Source organism: Homo sapiens, chromosome 10 (assembly GCF_000001405.40).
Source record: "Homo sapiens chromosome 10, GRCh38.p14 Primary Assembly".
In the NCBI taxonomy this organism is placed as follows: domain Eukaryota; kingdom Metazoa; phylum Chordata; class Mammalia; order Primates; family Hominidae; genus Homo; species Homo sapiens.
This window is the reverse complement of record NC_000010.11, coordinates 103744743-103768684: the sequence shown is the minus strand read 5'-3', so window position 1 is coordinate 103768684 and position 23942 is coordinate 103744743. Positions and strand designations below refer to the sequence as shown.

Here is a 23942-nt window from a genome sequence, read left to right as displayed (position 1 = left end):
ACTGGTCTCCCTGCTTCCACCCTGTGGTCCATTCCCTACGCCGTAGCTAGAGCCGTCTTTTCTAAGTGTGAAGCAGATCGTCTGTCTCTGCACAGAACTCTCCAGGACTTCCCCTTCCATCACGACAAGCCCTGAGTCTTCACCACAGCCTCACCAGGCCCTCTGTGCTCTGGCCCATCCTGCCACTCAGATCTCATTGCCTGTCCCTCTCATCCTGGCTCACTCCACTCCAGCCACATCGGCCTTGCCAGGCTCTTTTTGCACGTCCTGCTTCCCTGCCTGAAACGTTCTCCCTCTCCAGCGTAGCTTGCTTCCTCGCCCCCCTGCAGGTCTCTGTAGAATTGCTAGCTCGAGGTCAGGCCTTCTTTGCCGCCCTATATAAAATGACAACTCCTGTACTGTTCCCGTACCATATCCTACTTGATTTTCCTCCGCAGCACTGATCTGATCTTCCCTGGCACATGACATTCTTACTTGTTTGCTGTTTGTCTCCCTCCACCGGAGTGTAAACTCCCTGAGCGCAAGAACTTTGTCTATTTTCTTTACTGCCCTTTCCTTAGTGCCCAGTGCTGTAAAGTGGATGCTCAATATGTATTTGAAAGACTGATTGGACTTCAAAGATCATGTGACTGATCCTTCTCATTCTACCAAGGAGGGGCCTGAGGCCCAACCTTGAGAGGCTCCATTCCTTGCCTGAGGTCACACAGCTGGGGCAGCAGGACTAGATCATGACTCCCCTCCTGCCTATGCCTCAGAAAGGAAATCAGCCACACACAAAGGGGCCCTGGCCTCATCCATCCTGTCTCCTGTGTGTTTTTCCAGTTTACATAGAATTTCAGTCCAGAATAGCAAAAAAAAAAAAAAAAAAAAAAAACAAAACAGTTGTTCCTCCAGAACCCTGGAAACTCTTCCAGTGGGTCCGTCCTTGGAAAAACAGCAGCGACCTCAGGGTGGGAAGGTAGGAAGTGGAGGAATGGTCTTCCGGCAGCAGGGGCAATGGGATGGATTTGGTTTTGCAATTAAAATAACAGCTGGTTCTGTTTCCACAGCACGGTTCTGGAAGGTGGGTGGTCTGTCTAAAGTATCAGGTGGGGCCTTCCCCCATCCTGGCCCAAGAGGGTTCGGGATGGCCAGTGGCTGAAGGATTCACCCCACAGACGAAGTAGGAAAGAAACTAGGCCCAAAGGAGCCTCTGGAAACCCTACAGGCAGCCTGGCCTGAAAGCCTCTGGTCCCTACCCCAGCCTTGCTCGGGGTCATCTCCTGACACCTTCCCCTGCACTCCTACCCGCTCACTGAGATTGATCAGATGCCCTCTTTGATGCAGAGAGAGCTTTGGCCTCCTCCCTCTCATGCCCCATGTGGTTTGTTAATCATCTGTGAAATGAGGGATCTCAGGCGTCACTCATCCGTGTGAGGACACTGGGGCCCTGGAGCAGTGGAGTGAGTGGGGAAGGGATGATGAGGAATGTTCTGGTCTTCTGAATCCTGTCCCTCTGTCTGTCTGGCTTCTCAGATGCAGCTTTTGGATAAGTTTCCCATTGAAGGTGGCCAGAAGGACCCCAAGCAAAGGATCATCCCCTTCCTCCCAGGTAAGCATTGGGTGGCTCCACCCAGGGATGGGGGATACCCGGGAAGGACCAGTCCTTCCCTTAGGCCGAGAAGAGTACTAAGCAGCAGATTCTGGGCGGGGCATGCCCAGGAATCTGCATATGAACAATTCCCCCAGGGGATTTGGAAGCTCCAGACTGTGAAGTCCACTGTCCTCCAAGTGGCTTCTCTCACCATTACAAGACCGTCTCTGCTGGCTCCTGGCCTGTAGCTTCTGAGGAGTTTCTCAGGCTCCTGGACTTTGGTTTCCTTTTCACAAAAAGCACAGAGAGACCAAGTTCTATGAATGGATGAAGAGCTGCAGGCTGAGATGTTTGTACTGACTCCCATTCTAATCACGGATAACCTTAAATTGAGCGCACTCCCTGATCTGATCTCCTCCAGTCCTCACGTCACCTTATATGGAAGAGGAGGCTTACACCATTTTGGAGTGTGTTTAAGGCAATCAATTACATTATGTAATTTAGAGGAAAACTTCTCAGGTGTATCATAACCTGTTATTTTGATGATGTCTTAAGTGTGTATAGAGATTTATAGCCATGGAGTGCTTTTTTATTTGTTATCATATGCACATCTCTATACCGAGGTGTGTACTATAATCTCCCCCAATGGGTGAAGAAATTGGGGTTCAGACAGGTTAAAGAACTGCCCGTAAAAGTGGCAGAGCTGAGGAATAAACTCGGGCCTCCTGGTCCATGTCTGGCTCTGCCCTGCACCAGATAAGCGATGCTGTCTCTTGGCTCTCCAGAACCCCTACCGTTCCCCAGAAGAGCTCCCTTCACAGTGGGCTTCCCCCCGGGCTCAGACTGGCCCTGGACCTGCACAGGTCAGGACCACAGTGATCAGTCAGACCTTGGCAAGAAGCAGGGCCTGCACCTTGCTAACCCCTGGCACACTGCCAGCCCACAGCCAGTGCCTGCTTGCTGACTTGAAAACGGATGTAGGGGCACCTCCCTCAGAGAGCGGCTCCTCTCTGAAAGGCGTTTCTCCTGCATTCCTCCATCCTCAAAAGCAGCGAAAGATGTGAGTCCCTATGACCGCCTGTCCTCAGAGTCCTATGCTATAGCTAGAGATAATTAGTTTAGCTACAAGGAAGAACTTCTAAATTCCACAGTTTGGGCAAGACTGGAACTAGTCAGTGAGGGTGTAGGGACTCTCGGCCCCTGGCCTCCCCGCACAGGGTCATAGCATTGCTCCTTCATTCCTGGCCCAGGAGTTCACATGGGGTGACTTGCATTCCTTGCTTGGCTTTGCACTGGGTCTTGAATGGAATGTCCAGCATCCAGGTTGGTGACAACCTTAGATGGTGCTCCGGTACAGTCTGGAAGCTCAGTGCCAGGGTTTGGTAGCCCATCTGGGATGCTGTGGGCACAAGAGTCCTAGAGGCAACCTGAGGCCACAGCGTGTTAGGCTGGCCTTGGGGCATGAAGGTCGCCTGTTTGCTCCAGAAGAATGGGCTTCTCCCACTTCTTCCTCAGCTAGCACTCCAGAGAAAGAGCACCCCATCACTATTCCATCAGCAGCTGTTTACCAGGGCTCAGCCTGTCAGAGCTGATGGGGCTGGGTGGCCTGGTGAATTAAAGGGAGATCTGAATTTGTTTTCCTCATCTACGGAACGCTCAGGCTAGTGGAGAGAAGACCTGCTCCATCATCCCAGGACCATTTAAGGCAGGATGTGACTGTACCACTGTGCAATTTGAGGGTGACTGGAGAGGGAGCTCAGAGAACAGTGACCTCATTGTGAGCTGAGGAAGTCAGCAGAGACCTCCTGAACGAGGGGGGCCTGGAGCTGGCCCCCACAGGATGGGTAGGCTTGGAGGGTGGAACGCAGGGCAAAGGCTTGTGTACTGCCGCTACCTCAGCCCCTTGTCTCAGGAGTCAAACTGCCCGGGTTCACCCTGGAAACCCTGGCTCTGCTGATTACCAATACAGAGAAGTTGCATTAGCTTCTCTGTGCTTCAGTTTCCTCATCTGGAAAATGGGGATAATGATAGAATGTACTTCGTGGGGCTGTTTCAAGCATAAAATAAATGAGTGTATCTCAGGTGCTTACAACTATGGCAGCTCCTAGTAGGGGCCAAATAAATGTTAGTCCTTATTATTACTAATGTTCCATACATGCCTAGCATTTTACACCACAATTTACATATATAATCTGATTTGATCCTCCCAACTAGGTGATCATCCCCATTTTACTGACTAGGAAACTGAGGCCAAGGGAGGCTAATAGACTTGCACAAGGCTACACAGCCAGGAAGCACAGCCCACACCAGAGCTGTCATTCCTGACTCCTGGGCCAGGGCTCCCTTCCACATCAGCTGCCCAGGTGCCGAGAACACAATAGCTGCCACAGGACTGAGGACCTCTCTGAACTTCAGTTTCCACTTACAGGATTGCAGTGAGGATTAAAAGAATTTACGCAAAACACTTTGCACAAAGTCTGTCTTACAGTAAATAATAAATGGCAGCTGTTAATCAAGAAAGTCACCTGCCCCCACACCACCGTCACCTACTGGGAAAAGTCAAGCATGGAGACACCTTCCAGCTCCCATGCAAATGTGACCTGTGCATAGCGGGTGATGTTGTCAGGAGGAGTGAGGTTGACTCGCCCCCACCCTGTGCCCTTCTTTTTCCTGGTTTGGCTTCTTTTCTTGCCTTGCTTCAGCAGGGTTCCCTCTTAGACTCCTCTTCAGCTCACTCACTCTCCAGGACTTCAAAACACACATTGCTGGCCATTTGGAATCCTACCCCGGGGTTCCCAAGCCCTGTCCCTGGCCTTCCTCCTGCTCACTAGAAACTACCTTAACCCTGTTATGCTCTGCTCACTCCTTAGCTCAGACATGAAGGAAAAAGATGGAGGAAAAATAACGCAACACAATCAGAACCTGGCCAGGGCAAGTTGAGTGGGTGTGAGGATTCCCCATCCACCCCCACCGCCCTGATGCACAGGGCTTCCAGGAGGAGAGGGTGTCAGAGAAGGGCAGTGATGAACATTGCCTGTCTTAGGTCAAGTTCGTTAAATGCAGAGCCTGAGATGAGGATTCGCCTGCTAGTGGCTTTTGAGGGTATGCTCTCACGTGAACTTCCTGTGGCAGGGAAGGAAACAGGATGGGGCAGAAGAGGAAGTGAGGCAGAGATGTGTGTTCAGCTAAGTCTAGCCTCTGCCTGATCCCACGGGGAGCTCTGGAGGGTGAATGGCACCACAAAACTGTTCCATCTTAGGGGACAGCTTTTATAGCCCCCCCACATCAGTCATCCATTGTCTGTGGGCTGCCTCTTCTTCCAAAGGGTGTGGAGCATGGGCATGATGGCTCTCATGGCCGGGGGCATGCATCTGAAGAAGGGGGCAGCTGGAAGCCCCTAGCAGTAGCCCACACTCACAGCACTGAGGGGAGGAGCCGCAGCTGGTACAGGGGCTCAGGACAGCATCTGCTATACACACTAGCACCAGCTCAAGGCTCTGCTTCTGCTTCCTTGCCTCTAGGGAGGGTGTCTGAAGGGACCCTGCTGATTCCCCCAGGCTCACCCCCAGCAGCAGTGACTCAGCAGAACTCCAGAGAACTTAACAGTCTTTCAACCCCAGGGAGGGTTAGCAGCCAGCCTTGAGAATAGCCTTGCCAGCCCTTTGCCTCACCTGAAATTTCAGAGCAAGGAAATCCCAAGGGGTGGAAGCAGAGAGCACCTATTATTTCCAGAAGGGTCTCAATTTTAGCTCCAGAGATGCTGGGATGTGCTGAGCATTTCTGTTGCCCAAGTGTGGAGTCTGCGGGATGTGCTTGGAGTGTTAGGCCAGCTGATTTGCTTTGGCCCATGTGGCTGCAGGCTGATGGCTGAGGGCTCATAGAAATTTTACTGGCTGGTGGAGCTGACAGAGAAATTAGAGACAAAGGGAAACCATGGCTTGGTTACATGCTTGCCCATCTGCCAGTCAAATCCTGGCAGAAAATCTCACACATGGGCCGTAAGTCTTGGGACCTAGGACACAGTCTTGTGATATGTCTGGGTGGTGTAATGGTCAGTTCAGGGTCAGCCTGTAGATTTGAAAAGTGGTGAGTGCCTGGGGCTCCTGTGGTCAAAGGCAGAAGCTCCATCCCTGGAGAAGCTGACCCAGACAGGGCTCATTGGCTCTTGGGGGACAGATGGAGTGTTGTGCAGTGGTGCTGAGGTTGGGGGTAAGGATTGGGGGTCTGTGAGTAGGGCCAACAAGGTGGTAGAGTGGGGAGCCAGTATACTGCTGACCCAGGGGCTGACATTGGCATATCCATCAAATCCTATAGAAAATTTTGTAGGGGAACTGCCCGTAAGAGAGCCCCCGAATTGTTTTCATCAGGGCTAGAACCTGCTTTCTGGACCCTGGAAGTGAAAATCCACTGTGTCTGGGACCACCAGCCTTTATGAAGTCTGCAGAGCCTTGGAAGGGCAATGAGAAGCTATGGACCCACGTGGGACTGGCAGTTCTCCAGCAAGGCATCCTGGGAAAGAAAACCCAGACGTTTCATGGTCAGGAAGGGGCAGAGAGTTACTCCAGAGCCCAGACACCCTGAAGAGTGGTGGTGGGGGCAAGGGGTAGAGGGAAGGAAAGGGAGCCCCCCCAGGCCTATGCCTCCAAACCCCGTATTATGTGAGACTGAGGGAGACACACCCATCTCTTTTGCTGGCCTTTGCAGCCTTCCTTTGAGACAAGGCCCTTATCCGCCTCTGTCATGTTTCTATCATGAGGCTGGATGGGGGGTGCTTTGTTAAGACATGTTGGGCGCAGTGGCTCACACCCGCAATGCCAGCACTTTGGGAGGCTGAGATGGGTGGATCACTTGAGGCCAGGAGTTCCAGACCAGCCTGGACAATATGGTGAAACCCCCATCTCTGCTAAAAATACAACCAAAAAGTTAGCCAGGCATAGTGGCACATGCCTGTAGTCCCAGCTACTTGGGAGACTGAGGTGAGAGAATCACTTGAACCTGGGAGGCAGAGGTCACAGTGAGCAAGATTGTGCCACTGCACTCCAGCCTGGGTGACAGAGCGAGACTCTGTATCAAAAAAAAAAAAAAAAAAAAAAAAAAGACGTGTTGATTGCTCCTAGTGTGTGCCTAGCCTTATCCTAGCCACTCTGCATACCTTCCCTCCAGTCTCACTGCAGGTGGCTTTATCCCCATTTTAAAGAGAAGTCAAATCACTGTCCACCATCACTTAGCCATACAGCAGCAGAGCCGCGATTCTTCCTATGGGGCCGTATGTCTTTCCTTGGGCAAGAAGGAATTGCCACAACAGCCTCAGCTAGACTCTGTCTTTGTCCCTCCCTTCTTGCCTGCACACCTCCCAGGTTAGGGATCTGAGAAGTTCTGCCTGAGACAGACCACTGGGAGGTCCAGCCTCTCCCTCGGGCTGTCATTGCTATCTCATGTTTCAGGAGTGCCCTGTGTGGGTGGCAGGTGGCTGGAACCTCACGGGGACTCAGGTGACCTGTAAGGGTTCTCTCATTCCATTGAGTGGCCGAGGTAATTACTCACCAGCACAGAGTAATTGATATTTTTCTTGCAATTAAACCACTTAACTTATTATTTTAATGATTACAAATAAGATAGTCCCAAGGCTTTCAGAGTGCTATCTTCCTTTAATTATGATCTAACAAGTTTGGCTATTTGGTTTCCTAACAGCATTTTTTTAAACTTTTTATTTTGAAATAATTAGAGACTCACAAGAGGTTGCAAAAATACTAGGCACTCTACATTCCCCCCTCCAATTCCACCACTGTACTGCAGGGTAGCTGGCATTATTCCCATTTTAAGGAGAGGTCAAATCACTTTCCACCATCACATCACTTCCCCCCAATGGTAACATCTTATGTAACCGCAGTATGTTATCAAAACCAGGAAATTAATATTGGCACAACTCAACTAACTAGACCACAGACCTGAGTAATTGATTTTTATTTTATGGAGGTGGAGAGTGCTGTTAAACAAGCATGTCAGCTGGTCTTTAGGAAGGAGGCAGTGGTTTGATAATAGTCCCTGAGAAACTGTACTCCCAGGCCCAACCTCTCGGCATTCCCATCCTCAACAAAAAGGCATATTCCAGAAACCTGTGCAAATTCAGCTCTTTGGAACAAATCACATGATCTTTTAGGTGTCCAAAGTATTATTCTATTCAAAAGAGGCATATAATAAATCCTGTTGCAAAGCAAGGAACTTTTAAAAAAAATATTCTTTTAAGTATTCTTGGCTGGGCACAGTGGCTCATACCTGTATTCCCAGCAACTCAGTAGGCTGAAACAGGAGGATCACTTGAGGATAAGAGTTTGAGACCAGCCTGGGCAACAGAGCAAGACTCTATCTCTAAAACGAACAAACAAAAAACATATTTTTACTCCAGCTCTCTTTTGATTAAAAAAAAAGTATTCATCTTTCCCTCGTTACATATACATATTTATTTTATATACATATATTGTATTGTATATTTTATATTTTATATACATGTATATATTTTAAATACATATATATATCTTTTTGAGACAGGGTCTCGCTCTGTTGCCCAGGCTGGAGTACAGTAGTACAGTCACAGCTCACTGCAGCCTCCACTTCAGAGGCTCAATCTGTCCTCCTGCCTCAGCCTCCCAAGTAGCTGAGACTACAGTTGCGTGCCACCATGCCTGGCTAATTTTTGTATTTTTTTGTAGAGATGGGGTTTTATCATGTTGCTTAGGCTGGTCTCAAACTCCTGGACTCAAGTGATCCACCTGCCTTGGCTTCCCAAAGTGTTGGGATTACAGGTGTGAGCCACTGCACCTGACCTGGTTTACATATATTTTTATACTTTGGGACTTCTCCTGTTCCTCCAAGTTCCGTAGGTGTGACAAGACGGGCTCAGATGAATGCCTGCATATGCAGTGAGTTACTTTATAGGAGGGGAGCCTGCATCTTTTTATAATGGATGGTAAGCAAACCTGCCCTTTTGCTCCCAAGATGGACACTATCCTTAGTCCAAGACTATATGCAAACCTGCCGTATGCCCCAGAGCAAGGCACTACCTCTGTCTTCTAAGGCTGTTTGCTATGCAAGCACCTTTGAAAAGATCATCCAAAACAAAAAGCAGTTAGTGCCTTGTTTACAAGACATGTACAACAGCAGGAGGCCCAGGGAGAATTGGCTCAGAAGTGTGCCTTAGCGCTTTCTGAGGTCTCTTGCTTTTTGGAGGGGTGGGCAGAAATCAAATTCCTTAGGACATTGGGCCAAGCGTGGCGGGGTCACCAGCCTCTCAGGGCAGCCTACTGTTTACTTGGAATTTTCTGCCTTGTTTTAGAAGATGACTGTGGAAAATCCATCTCCTGTTGCCCATCCTGGGATTGGAGTAGATTTCCTGTGTATCCCGAGTTTGCTGGCCTGAGGAGACTCCCTGAGAGGAAATGGTCATTACGACATGAAGTAGAGTGTGTAGCTGCTGATGTAAAAAGCAAACAACTGTGGCCAGGGATTGAGGGACTTCAGAAGCCAGGCAGTGGAGCAAAAAGAGCTGCACTCCCTCTGCAAAGGCTGTGCGAGGTCCCCTCCCACTAGCAAGCCATCTGTGTCTCTGTACTGGCTGGCACTGGGCCTCTGGGCTTCCAGAAAGCCCTTCATCCTAATAGCTGAGTTAGTCCCATGCATCGCTATCCATATCCCCAGGTTGATGAGTCCTGGAGAAGTGAGATTGCTTAGGGAGAAAAGTGAATCTATAACCATAATCAAGGTAGGCGTTGCCAGCCTGCAGACAGCCTTGTGACCTTATGAGCTTAGAGGTATATTTTTAGTCAGCAGGCATGCTTGCTTCTTTTGTACTGACTCGCCAGTTTACGTAACGGCCCTGTAATGAAGAGGCAGTTTGGAGCCACAGTGCAGAGGGTGCTGGGTGAATTGCAAGCATGTTCTCCGGGGCCTTCCTCTCCCAGCCCCCAGAGCCCTGTGCAGAAGATCCGGTATTTGTTCCAGCATAGAAGGAAGCAGGGGGAAGGGATGTCTTTAACTAGAGCTGGTCCGTGGCCCGCTCCCTGGGCTATAGGTGTCTGTGTGTGTCTCCACCAGGCACCAGCTGAGAAAGCCCTTCCTGAAGGGCCCTGGATGCTATGAGGGAGGTTGTGGCTCAGAGATTTCACCAGACTGCAACCCCCAAGGAAGAGAGGTTGAGAAGTTTCTGGGTCCCACAGGTGACCTGGGATGTCAGGAAAAGCCAAACTATGTGATGGAGAAGGAAAAATAGGGTCTGTTGGTAATTCTGGGGTTTAAAAAGGTCAACAAGATTATAGGCCTGAGAGGCACCGTGTGCCATCTTAAACACAGCTTTCCTCCAACCTCCACTGGAGGTATTTTGTCTTCTCTTGATGTAATTACTGCTTCCCATCCCCAAAAATCAGTCTCCTACTCTGTAATCTGGACGGGCAGTTTTCAGGGCCTGCTGTCAGCAGCTGACTCTGAACACAGCGTGGAATAGCTACATTCATTCCTTTCTATCACAGATATTTATTGAACACATACTGTGTGCCAGCTGTGGTCACTGGTGATATGACTGAGAACAAAGTAGGCCTGGTTGTGGTTCTCAGGAAGTTTACCTTCCAGTGTGGGAGTCAGAAGACAAATAGATGAGCAATTTCCAAGAGTGATGAGTGCCAGAAGGAAAAATAACCAGGTCATGTGGCAGGTGCTACAGCTCAAGGCATCTGAAATTAGATGGTCACAAAGGGCTTCTTTGCAGAGGTGACATCTCCACTGAGTAGGTTTGGATCATCAGGGCCCAGGGGTGCCAGGCTTGGGGGGACAGCAAGAACAGTAACCTTAGTCGGACCACCGGTATATGTTTGAAGAACAGTAAGAAGTGTGTGGAACAGTGAGGAGTGCTGAGTCACCCAGAGACAGCTGGGCAGACAGGACTTGTGGAGCCAAGACACTCCAGAGCGGCTCCACCTGTGTGTTTGTGAGCTGTGCCATCTGGCCCAGTCACACGGACTCCAGGCTCTGTAGCATCATCTGTCAAATGGGTTGATCATGGTTTGGTGACATCGCAAGCAGTTAATGCATGGAAAGCGCTGTGTGGCGTGCAACGGGAGAGGACTGGTGCCGCAAGCCTGTCTGTGCTCGTGGTGGCTTTGCCGCAGGACACAGATGTGGGATTTCCTTTGCCCTCCCCACTCTGTGCTGAGTCAGCTCTTCCCACTGCAGCCCAGGCCGCAGCCCAGGCACAGCCTCACTTCCTGCAGTTCTTTCCCGGCCTGTGGTAACTTGCAAAGCAGCAAGGAGCTTGTTTCTAAAGAGCAGATGACCCAGATGGCTGATCTGGGATGAAAGGTGGGGATCCGGCCTCTGATCACATGGCAGTGTCACTGTCACTACCTTCCAGACTCCGAGCTGCAGACCCTCCAGGTCTTGCAGGGAGTAACAAGCTTTGCAGGGGTCAGCCACGCAAGGGGCTTTTTTACTTTTGAAATGTAGATCAGTCTCCCAAGCCCTTCCCCCGCGACATCCCCACATTCCAAGACCAGGAAAAGAGCCAGGCCACCTTGTTACAACTTGGTATGTGCCTTCCCAATCATTCTAGAAGGGAATCAGCTCCTGAACACCTACCCCCAACCCTCCGTCCTGGATGGATTGTATCCTAGGTATCTTCCCCAGGAACTTTCTGATCTGGGCCGAAAAGCCTGTCTCTTCTCATGGTCTCAGTCAGTCTGTGTCATCTAAGACGCAGAAAATGCACCCGGGCCTGGGTCTCCAGAGTCCTGGATTCTAGTGCACCCCATGCTAATCACCATGGCACAAAATTGAAGAAGTTAAGTTTGAGCAATCAGGGATCACCTTGCTTGTTGGCAAAGTCACCAGAAAGTGACAGGCATGATTTCAGGGCTCGGTGACACTCCTGTCCTTTACCCTCCACTCCCTCCCCCTGGAAATACATCCTTTCCTTACCTGATGCCTAAATGTCCTTTTACAAGGTTGGATCCTTTCCCTCCATGCTGAGAGAGTACAGTTATACCCTGGTGTCCCCAGGGTTGGTGCTTCCAGCCAACTCATACTCCAGCGTAGATGGCAGACTGGATGGTTACTGAGACCAGGGTTGATAGAGGTGAGAGGGCAAGTGGGCAGCTGAGGCTAGAGACAGAAGAAGGTGCTAGGCCTCAAAGGCCTGTGTGGAGTCTGGAGAAGGGGCTGGCGGGAGCTTGCACGGAGCAGAGGAGACCAGCTGGGGTCCTGGAGAGGCAGGTGAGAGGGCAAAGGTGACTTGGCCTAGGCTGGGCCCTGGGTGGAGGGAAGTAGACTGAGGTCTGTCTTAGAAGGACAGCCAAGAGGCCATGCTGATGGATTGGAGGTGGTGGGGTGGGGTCGAGGATGACTGCCCATAGCTCTGTCTGGGCAGCCCTGGCCAAGATGGCAGAAGGAGTGTTTCACCTCACCACCACTCCCCACTCCTGCCTGTGGGCTGCATCCGTGGGGGTGAAGGGAAAGGACTTCCTCCCTCCTCCCTGAGGTGGCCGAAGCCTTTGGAGCATATGAAAGGTGCTTTGTGGTGGGCAGCCTCCCTCCCCAGGAGCCTCTGGGCACTGGGCACTCTGGTTTCTGGGTCCAGGTTTCACTGAGGGCTCGGGAGTGGCAGCAGCGGGTGATGGTGGTGGAGGGGAACACTGAGGCGCATTGAGAAGGAGCTCCGGCCCCCAACAACTTCTTAGGAGGTGAGGGGCACTGGAAGAGATAAACTCCCACAGTGTCCCTGGCCTAATCCCGCACACTGCCCTCCTGGGTCACTCCAACTGGACCCAGGCCCAAGGACAAAGCCCCAAGCCAGAGCTCTTCTCTGGCAGGGACTGAGCTGGCTCTAGGCATCACCTGTGTGAACTGATGTATCATTCATCCAGGGCTGCCTGGCACCCAGCAGATCCATCGTTCTGGGCGCTGAAAATACCTCCTCCCCCTTCACCTCCACAGTTCCCAGGACTGATGTCCACTGAGGAGGCCCCAGGATGCCAGGCTGCCCAGCCTCCAGACCACAGTTGGCCCCAGGGGACTGGCATGGCCTGAAGATGGAGCCCGTTCATCTGAATGTACCTTCAAAAGGGAAGGGAGGAGGCAAATGTGGAGGGTGGGGGTTGGCTGGCAGCCTCGCCTTTCTCTACCTGTCAGGGACAGGGTGGCCTGGCGACACCCCTGCAGGCTTCAACTGTCAAGATCGAAGCTCGTGTGAAGGAAAGGGGCTAGGTTTATGTTTCTCCCCAGGCCCAAACAGGAGAAGCCAGATTTCGCCTTAGTGAGGACACATTTGGGTGGATCTCAGAGAGAACTTCCAGGGACAGGAAGAACTTCTCAGCGGGTAGGGGGTGGTTCTGAGCAATGACTTTGGGCTCCTGCAGATCTGGTTCATACCTGGGCTTTCTACTTAGTGCTACTTGCCTGAACCAAAACTCTGCTATTTTCCGTGGCTGAGATGGGTAGCTATCGTACTTCCACACTGGAGGACTTACAGCCAGACAAACCTGGGGTTCAAATCCCAACTCAGCAGGCTCGGCATGCTGTCTCACATCTGTAGTCCCAGCTACTCAGGGGGCAGAGGCAGGAGGATTGCTCAAGCTCAAGAGTTCGAGACCAGTCTGGGCAACATAGTGAGACCCTGTTTCAAAAAATAAAAATTAAAAGAAATCCCAACTCAGCCTCTTCATAGTTGTGTGACTCTGGGCCAGTTTTAATCAGTTTAATTCTGAAGCTCCATCATAATCCCCATCTCTGAAATCCCTTCAGGGTTATTGAGAGCATCAAATGAAATGTCATCTGAAAAGCACAAAGTAAGCCCTCAGCACACGATTGTGATTTGGTAATTTTTAGTATCAGGTCCCTAACAAAATTGTGAGCTGTCTCTGGGATGGTTTGAATGCAGCCTCCTAGAATCCCTTCCAAGAGTGAGGTCTCTTCTCAGGAGTGCGGTCCCACAGCCTTGTGTGTTTTAAGGATTGCTGTTCAAAATGTGGTCCTCAGATCAGCAGTGTGGCCATCATCTGGGAGCTTGTTGGAAATGCAGACACTTGGCCTCCCCCAAGATCTGTAAGTCACCGTCTGCATTTTAACATGCACAGGTGATTTGTGTGCACCATAAAGTTGGAGAAGCAATGTTTGAAGGTCCATCAGAGCCCTTCTACAGGAGGTCTACTGTGTCTTTAGGGCTCTCTTGGTGCTTGGTTACGTTCAGTTCATTCACATAATACAAACAACTGAGCCTGCAATGAATCCATTTCTGACTCAAAGTAGAGGTGCATGGGGAGACAAGGATTTACAGGGGTAACTTGGTGAGGGCTGGTTTCTTGGCCTCACATCCTTACATACACCTGAGCTGCCTGCCTGTTTCTGGTATTCTGTGGGAGGGAGTCGTGAGTAACAGCCCTCTCTCCCCATCACTAGCCCAACCAGGAGGATGCTCAGGTCCCAACCACACGCCCTCATCAGATATAGATCAGAACATTCTCTCTCCCCTCCCTTCCAAGATGGGGTGAAGTTTTGGGCCAAGGAGATTGCTAAGATTTTTATTTTAGAAGTTCCCTGATTGGAGATGGGCAAGACTGGCTCATGAACTCTCTGTGGTTTTGAAGATAGGGTGGCATGAGAACGTCTAAAGCCTATGTCTGGAGTTACGTCGTACTGTTAGGATGGAAAACAGGCTCTTGTAAGATGTCTCTGGAAAAAGTTAAGTCAACAAAATAAAGTGAAGCCAAGCATGGTGGCACACTCCTGTACCAGCTACTCGGGAGGCTGAGGTGTGAGGATCACTTGAGCCCAGGAGTTTGGGGTTACAGCGAGCTATGATCATGCCACTGCACTCCATCCTGGGTGGCAGAGTGCGACCCTGTCTCTAAACAAAATTGGTTTTAATTTCAAAAAAGAAAAAAAAGTGAAATTTGAAAGGAGCATATTTTGCTCTTCTATATAAAATAACCATTGCAGACCTAAGCTTCAAAGTAAAGGAGCCAGGGAGGAGAGTTGAGATGAGTGAGTGACTGGTAATTTGGTGGCCAGGTAATTCTTCTCTGATTGGCACAGTTTTTACTCCTGGCCTCTTGTTTCTGATCTGAAAGACGAATTAACCAGTTTAATAGTTGGTAGTTGGTGAAGATGGCTTAAGTGAGACCTATGTGGTCTTGTTACCAGAAAAACTTGCTGGTGAAAGACAGAGGGTGGAGCAGCTGTTCACGATGTGAGCCCAGTGGTCCAGAGATAACAATTCGTTGAATTGGCTGTAGGGAAAAAGTTGCAAACAGCTTTCTAAGGAACTTTGTGTGAGGCCTGGAATTTCAACAAATTAAACTATTATAAATGAGAGAGAATGTCTGCTTAAGGATTATAGCTACTACTTATTAAGCATATACTTCTGCCAGATACTGTGCAAAGGATTCATGTGCTTATGTTGTCTCATTTAATGACAAGTCTACTTGACACATGAAGACTCACAGGCTAGAAGGGGTGCATGACTTACCCAAGGCCACTCAACTAGTAAGAGGCAGAGCTGGGCTTCAAACCCAGTTCCCTCCACTTCCAAGCCCAAGCTCTTGATAACTATTCTTTTTTTTTTTTTTTTTTTTTTTGAGATGGGGTCTTGCTCTGTTGTCCAGGCTGGAGTGCAGTGGGACAATCTCGACTCACTGCAACCTCTGCCTCCTGGGTTCAAGCAATTCTCCTGCCTCAGCCTCCCAAGTAGCTGGGATTACAGGCGCCCACCACTATGCCCGGCTAATTTTTTTTTTTTTTTTTTTTTTTTTTTTTGGTAGAGGCAGGGTTTCACCATGTTGGCCAGGCTGGTCTCAAACTCTTGACCTCAAGTGATCTGCCCACCTTGGCCTCCCAGAATGCTGGGATTACAGGCGTGAGTCACTGCACCCAGCCTTTGACCACTATTCTTTATGTCCTTGCCACAAAGTGGGATTGACCAAAGATGTACTGTCTGGAGATTAACAGTTAAGATTTGGTATAAAATGGCAGGTATGTTGCCTGCACCAGGGTGTTTGCATTATCTTTAAACCTTGTTTCAAGTATTATCTCATTTAAATATATATATATACATATTAGAGGTTGATCAATGTTGTCCTTTTAATAAAGTATCACATTCTTATGGTAAAAGTTTTAGCTAGATTACATTATTTTCTCAGTCACCTTTCACTTAATCTATCAACTGCTACCAGCCACCTAGTGGCAGATGCTGGAATTGCAGGCATAGTGTCCAGAAGGAAATAATTGAATTCTGGAAAGCTGGCTTTGGAAACCCAAACCTATGAAGTAACTCTGTAATGATAATCATCACAGATATTATTTCCTAAACCACGATTCAACAGAGTACTGAAAACAAGGAAGAAAGATGTCCCACTTTACTGTTATGTTTCTATGTGACACGAAAACTGAGAAGTTTTCCTTTGAGGCACCAAATAGAACCTTAGGAAAAGTCGCAGGGTTTTACTTATTCATTCCTAAAACTTGGTGAGGGAGGAACTCTGGGCCTGGGGTCTGCTTTGCTGTCCGGTTTCTTTTGCTGTGCATGACAGCAGTTTCTCCAACATTAGGGTGGTGTTCTTCTGTGCATTGTAATAGATTTGTATTTATTAGTTCAGAATCCCCCATAAGGATAAGTCACAGCCCTTCTCTGAGCCTGAGTTCCCTCGTCTGTGAAATACAAGTATTGGACTTGATGCTGTCTAGGTTTTCTCATAGTCCCAGCATTTAGTGATCTAATAGCTATTAAGACCAAAGGAATAAATGCCTAATAATGGAATATCATGCAAAGGGGAAAACATTTTAGGAGAACAGGAGTCCTCTAGGCCTGCCTCAAATCCCACTGTACTGGCAGAACGTGGCTGCCTCTGTATAAGGCAAGCCTTGTGCCCTTCCCACTCCCCTGTTCCACTCCTCCATTTCCTTTGGAAGGCAGAGAAAGCCCCCTTGTCCTGAATGTTTCCCTGCAAAGGGCTCCTGCTGAAAGACTGCATACACAGCCAAGACTTTGACCTTCACCTTTGCCCCTCACTGACTTGGTGAAAAAGAGTTCTTATCCTCCCCTCTCTAGGTTTGGGAGGCGGGGAATCAGCTAGGGTTAGTAGGAATTCAATGAAAATATAAATAGAAACATGATCTATAAATAACAGTGCCCCAAAATATCAGGAGGCATGAATACCGGCTGGGCAGCAGACAGTCACAGATCACGAGGGCCTGGACAGGGAGTGCGGGTTATTCGGTTGCTTTGGTGTCTCTTGGGATGCTTCCAACTTGCCAGTGGGCTTGGAGAAACCCTCTCTCTTTCTGGACTCTAGAAACGCCCTCTTTGTTGCCTCTCTTGCACCCATCTCTAGCTAAACCTTCCTTAACACTGCCTGGAATTAGATCTGGTGTTTAATCCCAGCAGTGTGTGACTTGGGGAAATTCAGAAGATATCTCTGAGCTTTAGTTTTTTCATCTGTGCCCATGAGGATTTTTAAAGCTGGAGATTTTGAAGAGCAAGAACCGTATCTCATTTTATCTTGGTTAACAGGGTGGAACCTAGGGCCAGATTGCCTGGATTCAGATCCCCATAGTGCTCCTTACTAGTTGTTTGGCCTTGGAAAAGTTACTTAACCTCTCTGTGCTTTAATTTCCTTGTTAAATGGGAAGAATAATGGTATCTATATTGTTGGGCTGTTGTGAAGAATAAGTTAGTTAATATTTGTAAAATGCTTAAAATAGTGTCTGGCACATAGTAGACATATATAAATAATTATTAAGCAAGGAAACAAATCTATATATCCCCCGTGCCTACAGCGTTACCTGGTATGTAGTAGCTGCTCAATACATGTGTAGCATGAATGACTGAATGACCTATCTATCTTGTAGTCTACAAAAGTCATTCAATAAGATCATGCGTGAATTCTTTCTAAGCCACAAAGTTCTATACAAATGAAAGTGGGAATATTAATCTTACCTACTAGGGTGACAGTTTGACAAGGGTTAAAGGTACACTCCCTTATTATCCTCATTCATCTTCTCTGCCTTGCATACTCTGCATTCTATTGGTCTGGGGGAAATGCCTGGAGCTGAGACAGCTCAGTGGTAGAAAAAGTCCGTTTCCCGCTGTGGTGTTCTGCGGCAGTGCCAGCCTCTCTGCGTGGCCTAGCACTGCCCTGCCCTTCTTAGCATTAGGCCCTCATTGTGGGTAGTGCTGACAAAATTGTTCACAGGCAAAGCAAAGCAAAGCAAGCTCTTAAGCAGACAAACAATTGGCTGTGTCGCATTTTGCTATATACAGATTTTAAATATAAATAAAAGAAACAAAAAAAGCCCGTGCCCCTCAACAAAGCAACCTGAATGGACAAGGCAGAAAGAGCATTGACCCCGGAGTCAGGTGCTGGGTTCTAGGCTCAGGCCTGCCTCAGCTTGTGTGTAGGATGGGGACCATCCCATCAGCTCTCTGAGCCTCCCCAGGTCTGGAAGGTATTAGATTCTGTCAGTAATTCTCAGCCTCAGAGGTACATGAGAATCGCTCAGGGGGCTCATGAAAAAGGCAGACTCTCGCCCTGTCCATCCCCTTCCACTTCAATTCAGGGTGTCTGGGCAAATTTTAGGAACTTCATTCGTTACCAGTGTTCCAAATATCTCTGATTCAGGTAACACAGGGACCCTGTCCTTCCAAAAGGAGTGCTAGGCCTTGTAGTAGTTACCTGGGTAACAAATCATCCCCCAAAATTAGCAGCTTAAAACGACAATAAAAGGCCAGGCACGGTGGCTCATACCTGTAATCCCAGCACTTTTGTAGGCCAGGGTGGCAGGATCACTTGAGCCTGGGAGTTCGAGACCAGCCTGGGCAACATAGAGACCCCCATCTCTACAAGAAATTTTTTAAAATTAGCTGGGCATGGCATCATGCACCTGTGGTCCCAGCTACTTGGGAGGCTGAGGTGGGAGGATCACTTAGGCTCGGAGGTCGAGGCTACAGTGAGCCAAAATTGTGCTACTGCACTCCAGCCTGGGCGACATAGCAAGACTCTGTCTCCAAACAACAACAATAAAAATGTATTATCTCAGCATAGTCTCTGTGGGCCAGGAATTCAGAACTGCTTAACTGGATGGTTCTGAGTCAGAATCTCTCATGAGGTTATAGTCGAGATTCAGCTGAAGGCTTGACTGCAGTTAGAGGACCCACCTGCAAGACGGCTTGCTCATCTCGCTGGCAGACTGGCGCTGGCTGCTGGCAGAGGCCTCAGCTCCTTGCCACATGGATCTCCACAGTGCTGCTTCAGCATCCTTACAACATGGAAGCTGGCTTCCCTCAGCATGAGTATCTGGGAAAGAGATGAGGAAGGCAGTTACAATGTTTTTATAATCTAGCCTTGTAAGTCATACGATTATTCCCACAATATCCAATTGCTTCCACAGGTCAGCCCTGGTTAGTATGGGAGGGGACCACGAGGCAAGAGTCACTGGGGCCATCTTGGAGGCTGACTTCCACAGCCTCCTTTGAGTCCTCAGTTCTATGAAACACTGTTAGTGGATGGCAGCTCTTGTTGTTGGGTTAGGATTTGTAGAAATTGGAGGCAGGAAAGACAGCTGAGTTGGAGACCCTAGCAGATGTAGCCTGGAAGCACAGAAGCACAGAAGCTTATAGGCTACGTTTGCTAGGCTGTCTGTAAGCCAGAACCAGGCTGCCAGGTCGGGTGCCCTTTGAGTTCAGCCTGGTCACTGAGTTGCTAAGAGAAGGTGGGCAAAGCGTGACCCTCTCAGAGCTTAGCTTTGACTTCAGAAGGTGAGGAGGCTGGACAAGATGGCCTCTGGGGTCACCTGGTCTTCACCCCTGTGTTCCACATGGGCTGTGGTGTGAGTTTACGTTGTATGTGCCCAGCCAGTGACCAGGCCCAGGCTGCTCCCCGAGCTCCTGAGATGTGAGGAAGGCTGGGTGCAGTGGCTCCCACCTTTGGGAGGCCAAGGCGGGTGGATCACCTGAGGTCAGGAGTTCGAAACCAGCCAGGCTAACATAGTGAAACCCCATCTCTACTAAAAATACAAAAATTAGCCAGGTGTGGTGGCACATGCCTGTTATATCAGCTACTTGGGAGGTAACAGAGCGAGACTCTGTCTCAAAAAAAAAAAAGAAAGAAGAAAGAAAGAAAGACTTCAGGAAGAAGGGCTTCGGGCAGGGTCTGAAGGTTCTGGTGTCTTCTCACCGTGAACATTATGGTCCTTGGCCTTGGAGGTCCAGGAACTCAGGCATTTCTGAATATGCAACTGTAGTGGCTTCAGTGTGCTCTGTGTGGCCATTCAGTCTCTTTGGCACCTTTCATAACCCCACCCCAGGGACCTCCCAGCATGCGTCCTGATGCACGTACCCACTGGACTCCCTTCAGCTTCTCAGATGTGCCTGTCTCTTCAGTCTCTGGGCCTCTGCTCAGACTCTCCCTCTACCTGGAACACTCTTCCCGCTTCCCTTTGCCTGTCTCACTCTCTCCACTTCCTCAGCCCTGTCTCCCTCCTGCGTGTGCCTATGACAGCCAACACATCACAGCGCAGTGCCCATACACAGTATCCTTTGCGAGGGCAGGGACCGTCACCATCACAGCCCAGCCCCCAGCACAGTGCCAGCATTTGGGAGGGAGTGAATGGGTGTTGCGTGTTGCCCCTTCTTTCAGGGATGGGGTAGGGTTGAGATGTACCCCGTCAGGAAAGCTGGCCACAGGTTGCACAGCCCGGGGCTCAGGGAAAGGAAGGAAGATAGCAGAATCATTAGGAGCCTAGGCATGTTCAGTCTGCCCAAAGAAAGAGACTGTGGCACACCCAATCCCAGCTCCACCACTTCCTCGCTTTGCAACCCTGGGCGGGGCACTCAACTTTTCTTACCTTCAGTTTACTCATCTGTAAAGTGAGAATAACAACAGCACCCAGTATGTAGCTCAGAGGTTGTTATGAGGATCAACTGTCATAATAAATATAAAGTACACGGCACAGGGCTTAGCACATACCAAGTGCTCAATGAATGTTACGTCCTCTTAATGTTACTGTCACCATCCTTGCAGGAGATGGGTGGAACCACAGAAAATGCTGGTGGGAGGTTGATGAAGAGAGTTGACTGTCTGGGCTCAGTTTTGCCAACAGAACCAAAGCTCAAGGAAAGCAGGCTTTGGGACAGGCGCGGTGGTTCAAACCTGTAATCTCAGCACTTTGGGAGGCTGAAGTGGGTGGATTGCTTGAGCCCAGGAGTTCAAGACCAACCTAGGCAACACAGTGAGACCTCATCTCTACAAAAATAATAAATAAATAAATAAATAAAATGAAAGCAGGCTTTGGTGGACAGTGTCCATCCCAAGAGAGCCAGGCAAACTCCCCTGTGGCTGGCCTGGCCAGGCCTGTGGTTTTGGGCCCTTTACCGACAGGCCTCTGCTTCCTGCGGCTTTTCCTCTGTCTCAGAGCCTCAGAAGTGAGTGGGTGTCTTTCAGCATCATCACTGCGACCCAGGACTTCCATCTGCCTGCCCCACAGCCTCCTCATCTGGCTGGGCCATTCTGCAGTGTTTCTCTGAGCTCCAGAGGCCTCGTGCCCCTCGCCAAGCCCCCCACACTGTGGACCATGCCACAGGGAGAGGCTGCCAGGAAGCTCTGCCCAGCGTCCCACCGTCTTTCCTGAGGGCAGCCTCCCCTGGAGGGAGGAGCCGAGGCTGCACAGGCTGAATGGGGCCCTTTATTCCCGGCTCCCACAGGGAGGGTACAGAGCCACTGCCCACCACGCCCACCACACCCACGCCCACATGGAGGGGGTACAGCTTGGCCCTGATGCCGGCCTCTGAGCTAACCACACTCTGGCCCCACTGTGTCTGCGTCCTGGAGGGTGAATCCACCCCTCTCCCCAGCTCTGGCTGAAGCTGCCGTCCCTAATGTGTGGGGTGAGCTGTATTTGCTAGTCTGCCAGGGGTCTGGGGGTGTGTAAATGAGAGACAGCCTAGAGCAAGCCAGTGTGAACACACACTCACACTCACTCACCTTTCAGCAAGTCGCGGTCGGGGTCCCTGTGTGCCCGTCCTTGTGCTGGGCCCTGAGGATACGTTCGTGGGCTTCACTGGCTGCAAGAAGCTTGCATTCTGTCCTTAGGGAACGCTGTAAAGAGGCAGGTTCAGAAGATCATTATCAATGGTGGCAGATTCTGGGAGGGAAACAACGGAGGCCGGAGAGAGAGGGCACATGGCCACCAAAGGCCTCCCAATGAGGGATGCAAGGCAATGGCTGGGCAAAGGGCAGCAGGAACAGTGCTCCAGGAACAGGAACAGGGACAGCGAACACACAGGCCTGAGGTGGGGAAGAGCAGGATGTGTCTGTGGCGTGGGCAGAGTGACAGGAGATGGGCGGGCGGAGAGAGAGGCAGGAGCTGAATCCTGCCCGGCCACAGAAGGGAGTTTGGATTTTATCCTCAGTGCCCTGGGCAGTCACTGAAAGGGTTAAGCAAGGGTTATGGTTTGAGAATATTATTCTGAGGCCAGGCGCAGTGGCTCACGTCTGTAATCCCAGTACTCTGGGAGGATCGCTTGAGCCCAGGAGTTTAAAACCAGCCTGGGCTACATGGTGAAACCCAGTTTCTACAAAAAAATACAAAAAATTAGCCTGGTGTGGTGGCGCATGCCTGTAATCCCAGCTACTCCGGAGGCTGAAGTGGGAGAATCACTTGAACCCGGGAGGCAGAGATTGCAGTGAGCCGAGATCACTCCCCTGCACTCCAGGCTGGGCAACAGAGCAAGACCCTGTCTCAATAAATAAATAAATAAAAATAAAAAAGAAAGAAATGGTTCTGGTCCCACTGCTCTAGAATGCTGCTCAAAAAGACTTCCATTCCATTTGGTTCAGCAAAGATGTATTAGTCCCTCCATGGGCCTGGGACTAGGTGCTTTATCACTAGCAGACACCCATAAAATCCCAGTTGACCCACCTGGGGTGAGGGAGAGAAAGATACTGTTCCCTTCAGCCTGGCTCTGCTTACTGGGTATGGGAACCTCCGAACCAGAATTTGGGAGATCGTTCTTCCCTCCAAGGTGCGCTGATGCTTTCTGCAAGCAAGCCGTGGCTGCAGGAGGGTGAAGGCTTCACTCTGTCGTGAACCCCAGTGGGCTTTTGCAAGTGTGTTTCCCTGGGCGTGTGGGAGAGGGAGTGGGGAGTGCTGGAGCGGGCAGACACACCTGTGTGAGTCACCCTAGAATGCCCCTAGGGGGCGGGTGGAATGAACAATTGGCCTCCTTGCCATTGTGTCACGTCCTCTGCCCTCTGAGTTGGGCCTCCGAGAAACGGAAGCCGTGTGGGAGACACAGATGTGTTTATGGGTTGGGTGAATCAGGAAGGGCAGCCGCAGGCTGAGGGGAGCTCGTGTTTGGCCTTGGTGGGAAGCCAGGTGGATGGACTGGGTGCCTGGGAAATGCTTCTGGTACTTGGATTCCACGTGGCCAGCAAGGAGACAGGCAGGGCCCACCCCACCCCATCCCACCTCCTTGACCTGGAAGTGTCAACTCATAAGAGATCCCATTTGTTCACCATTTGCCATGGGCTGGGCTCCATGCTAAATGCTTTTACAGACTCATTCACTGGCTCCTCGTAATAGTCCTTTGCATTAGACATTACTGCCTCCCATTTTGTAGTCTGAGGAAACTAGCATTCGAATAGGTTATGACTCATCCCCTGTCACATAACAGTAACTGGCAGAGCCAGATGTACCAGTCAGGACTCTCCTGGTGACAAGAAATAGACCCATCTCAATCTGGCTTAAGAAAAAAGGGGAAACTTATTGGTTCACATAACTGAAAACCAAGAGTAATGGTTTCAGGCATAGCTGGATCTAGGGGACCAAATCTGTGTCTCTTAAGCCCTCAGCTTTGCTGTCTTTTCTGTTGACTTAATTCTCTGATAGGCTTCCCCCAGGTGGTAACAGAGATACATAAAGATGCTTCCTAGCAGCTTGGGGCTTGGCATTTATGAGTTAGCAGCTGTAGAGAGAGAACACATCTCTTCCTGGTAGTTCCAGCAGTAGTCCCAGGCTGATTCCCACTGGACCAATGTGGGTTGCATGCCCATGGCTGGACTGTACTTAATGATCAGCCCCAGAGTTTGGGATGGGATCAACCCCACTGAAATCCCATGGACTGAGAATGAAGGAGGGATTGTTTCCCAAAAGAAAATCGGGCACTGTAATAATTAAAAGCTGGCAGACAAAACCTACCAATGTCTACCATGCTAGACTTCAAGCCAGAGGCAGCATCTTGGCTCTAAAGAGAGATTCATGGGAGCCAGAACTCAGGGCATGGTGTCAGTATGCCTCAGGCTGCTGACCTTCGCTATGGGGATTGTGTCTTTCCGGA

At 50.0% G+C, this 23942-nt stretch overlaps 1 protein-coding gene and 1 long non-coding RNA gene across 3 annotated transcripts in view, besides 9 other annotated features; one reads left to right on the top strand and one right to left on the bottom strand.

The window, feature by feature from the left end:
* The window catches only part of SH3PXD2A (SH3 and PX domains 2A), a 261550-nt gene that overhangs the window by 86892 nt on the left and 150716 nt on the right, over positions 1-23942 (top strand). For both annotated transcript variants that reach the window (NM_014631.3, NM_001394015.1), the window contains exon 3: positions 1516-1591. In NM_014631.3, coding sequence (NP_055446.2) covers positions 1516-1591 — 76 coding nt within the window. The remainder of the gene's footprint in view (positions 1-1515; positions 1592-23942) is intronic.
* Positions 4617-4686: a silencer, noted in NCBI's record as "silent region_2789". NCBI's record gives its function as "represses an Ori minimal core promoter by ATAC-STARR-seq in GM12878 lymphoblastoid cells {active_cell/tissue: GM12878}" and the evidence as "EXISTENCE:reporter gene assay evidence [ECO:0000049][PMID:35858748]".
* Positions 4807-4926: an enhancer, noted in NCBI's record as "active region_3974". NCBI's record gives its function as "activates an Ori minimal core promoter by ATAC-STARR-seq in GM12878 lymphoblastoid cells {active_cell/tissue: GM12878}" and the evidence as "EXISTENCE:reporter gene assay evidence [ECO:0000049][PMID:35858748]".
* Positions 4937-5066: an enhancer, noted in NCBI's record as "active region_3973". NCBI's record gives its function as "activates an Ori minimal core promoter by ATAC-STARR-seq in GM12878 lymphoblastoid cells {active_cell/tissue: GM12878}" and the evidence as "EXISTENCE:reporter gene assay evidence [ECO:0000049][PMID:35858748]".
* Positions 9020-9314: a silencer, noted in NCBI's record as "tiled region #10495; K562 Repressive non-DNase unmatched - State 23:Low". NCBI's record gives its function as "represses a minimal TATA promoter and a strong SV40 promoter by Sharpr-MPRA in K562 cells {active_cell/tissue: K562}" and the evidence as "EXISTENCE:reporter gene assay evidence [ECO:0000049][PMID:27701403]".
* Positions 11445-12100: an enhancer, noted in NCBI's record as "H3K27ac-H3K4me1 hESC enhancer chr10:105516343-105516998 (GRCh37/hg19 assembly coordinates)". NCBI's record gives its function as "activates a minimal SCP1, AML or CMV promoter by ChIP-STARR-seq in naive H9 embryonic stem cells {active_cell/tissue: H9 hESC(naive)}" and the evidence as "EXISTENCE:reporter gene assay evidence [ECO:0000049][PMID:30033119]".
* Positions 12101-12758: an enhancer, noted in NCBI's record as "H3K27ac-H3K4me1 hESC enhancer chr10:105515685-105516342 (GRCh37/hg19 assembly coordinates)". NCBI's record gives its function as "activates a minimal SCP1, AML or CMV promoter by ChIP-STARR-seq in primed H9 embryonic stem cells {active_cell/tissue: H9 hESC(primed)}" and the evidence as "EXISTENCE:reporter gene assay evidence [ECO:0000049][PMID:30033119]".
* SH3PXD2A-AS1 (SH3PXD2A antisense RNA 1) lies at positions 13276-21906 on the bottom strand. Its single transcript, NR_038940.1, has 3 exons — positions 21589-21906; positions 18765-18903; positions 13276-14841 (listed from the first exon to the last, which is right to left on the bottom strand). It is a non-coding gene; the product is annotated as an SH3PXD2A antisense RNA 1 (long non-coding RNA).
* Positions 20922-21422: an enhancer, noted in NCBI's record as "H3K4me1 hESC enhancer chr10:105507021-105507521 (GRCh37/hg19 assembly coordinates)". NCBI's record gives its function as "activates a minimal SCP1, AML or CMV promoter by ChIP-STARR-seq in primed H9 embryonic stem cells {active_cell/tissue: H9 hESC(primed)}" and the evidence as "EXISTENCE:reporter gene assay evidence [ECO:0000049][PMID:30033119]".
* Positions 21423-21923: an enhancer, noted in NCBI's record as "H3K4me1 hESC enhancer chr10:105506520-105507020 (GRCh37/hg19 assembly coordinates)". NCBI's record gives its function as "activates a minimal SCP1, AML or CMV promoter by ChIP-STARR-seq in primed H9 embryonic stem cells {active_cell/tissue: H9 hESC(primed)}" and the evidence as "EXISTENCE:reporter gene assay evidence [ECO:0000049][PMID:30033119]".
* Positions 22340-22861: an enhancer, noted in NCBI's record as "H3K4me1 hESC enhancer chr10:105505582-105506103 (GRCh37/hg19 assembly coordinates)". NCBI's record gives its function as "activates a minimal SCP1, AML or CMV promoter by ChIP-STARR-seq in primed H9 embryonic stem cells {active_cell/tissue: H9 hESC(primed)}" and the evidence as "EXISTENCE:reporter gene assay evidence [ECO:0000049][PMID:30033119]".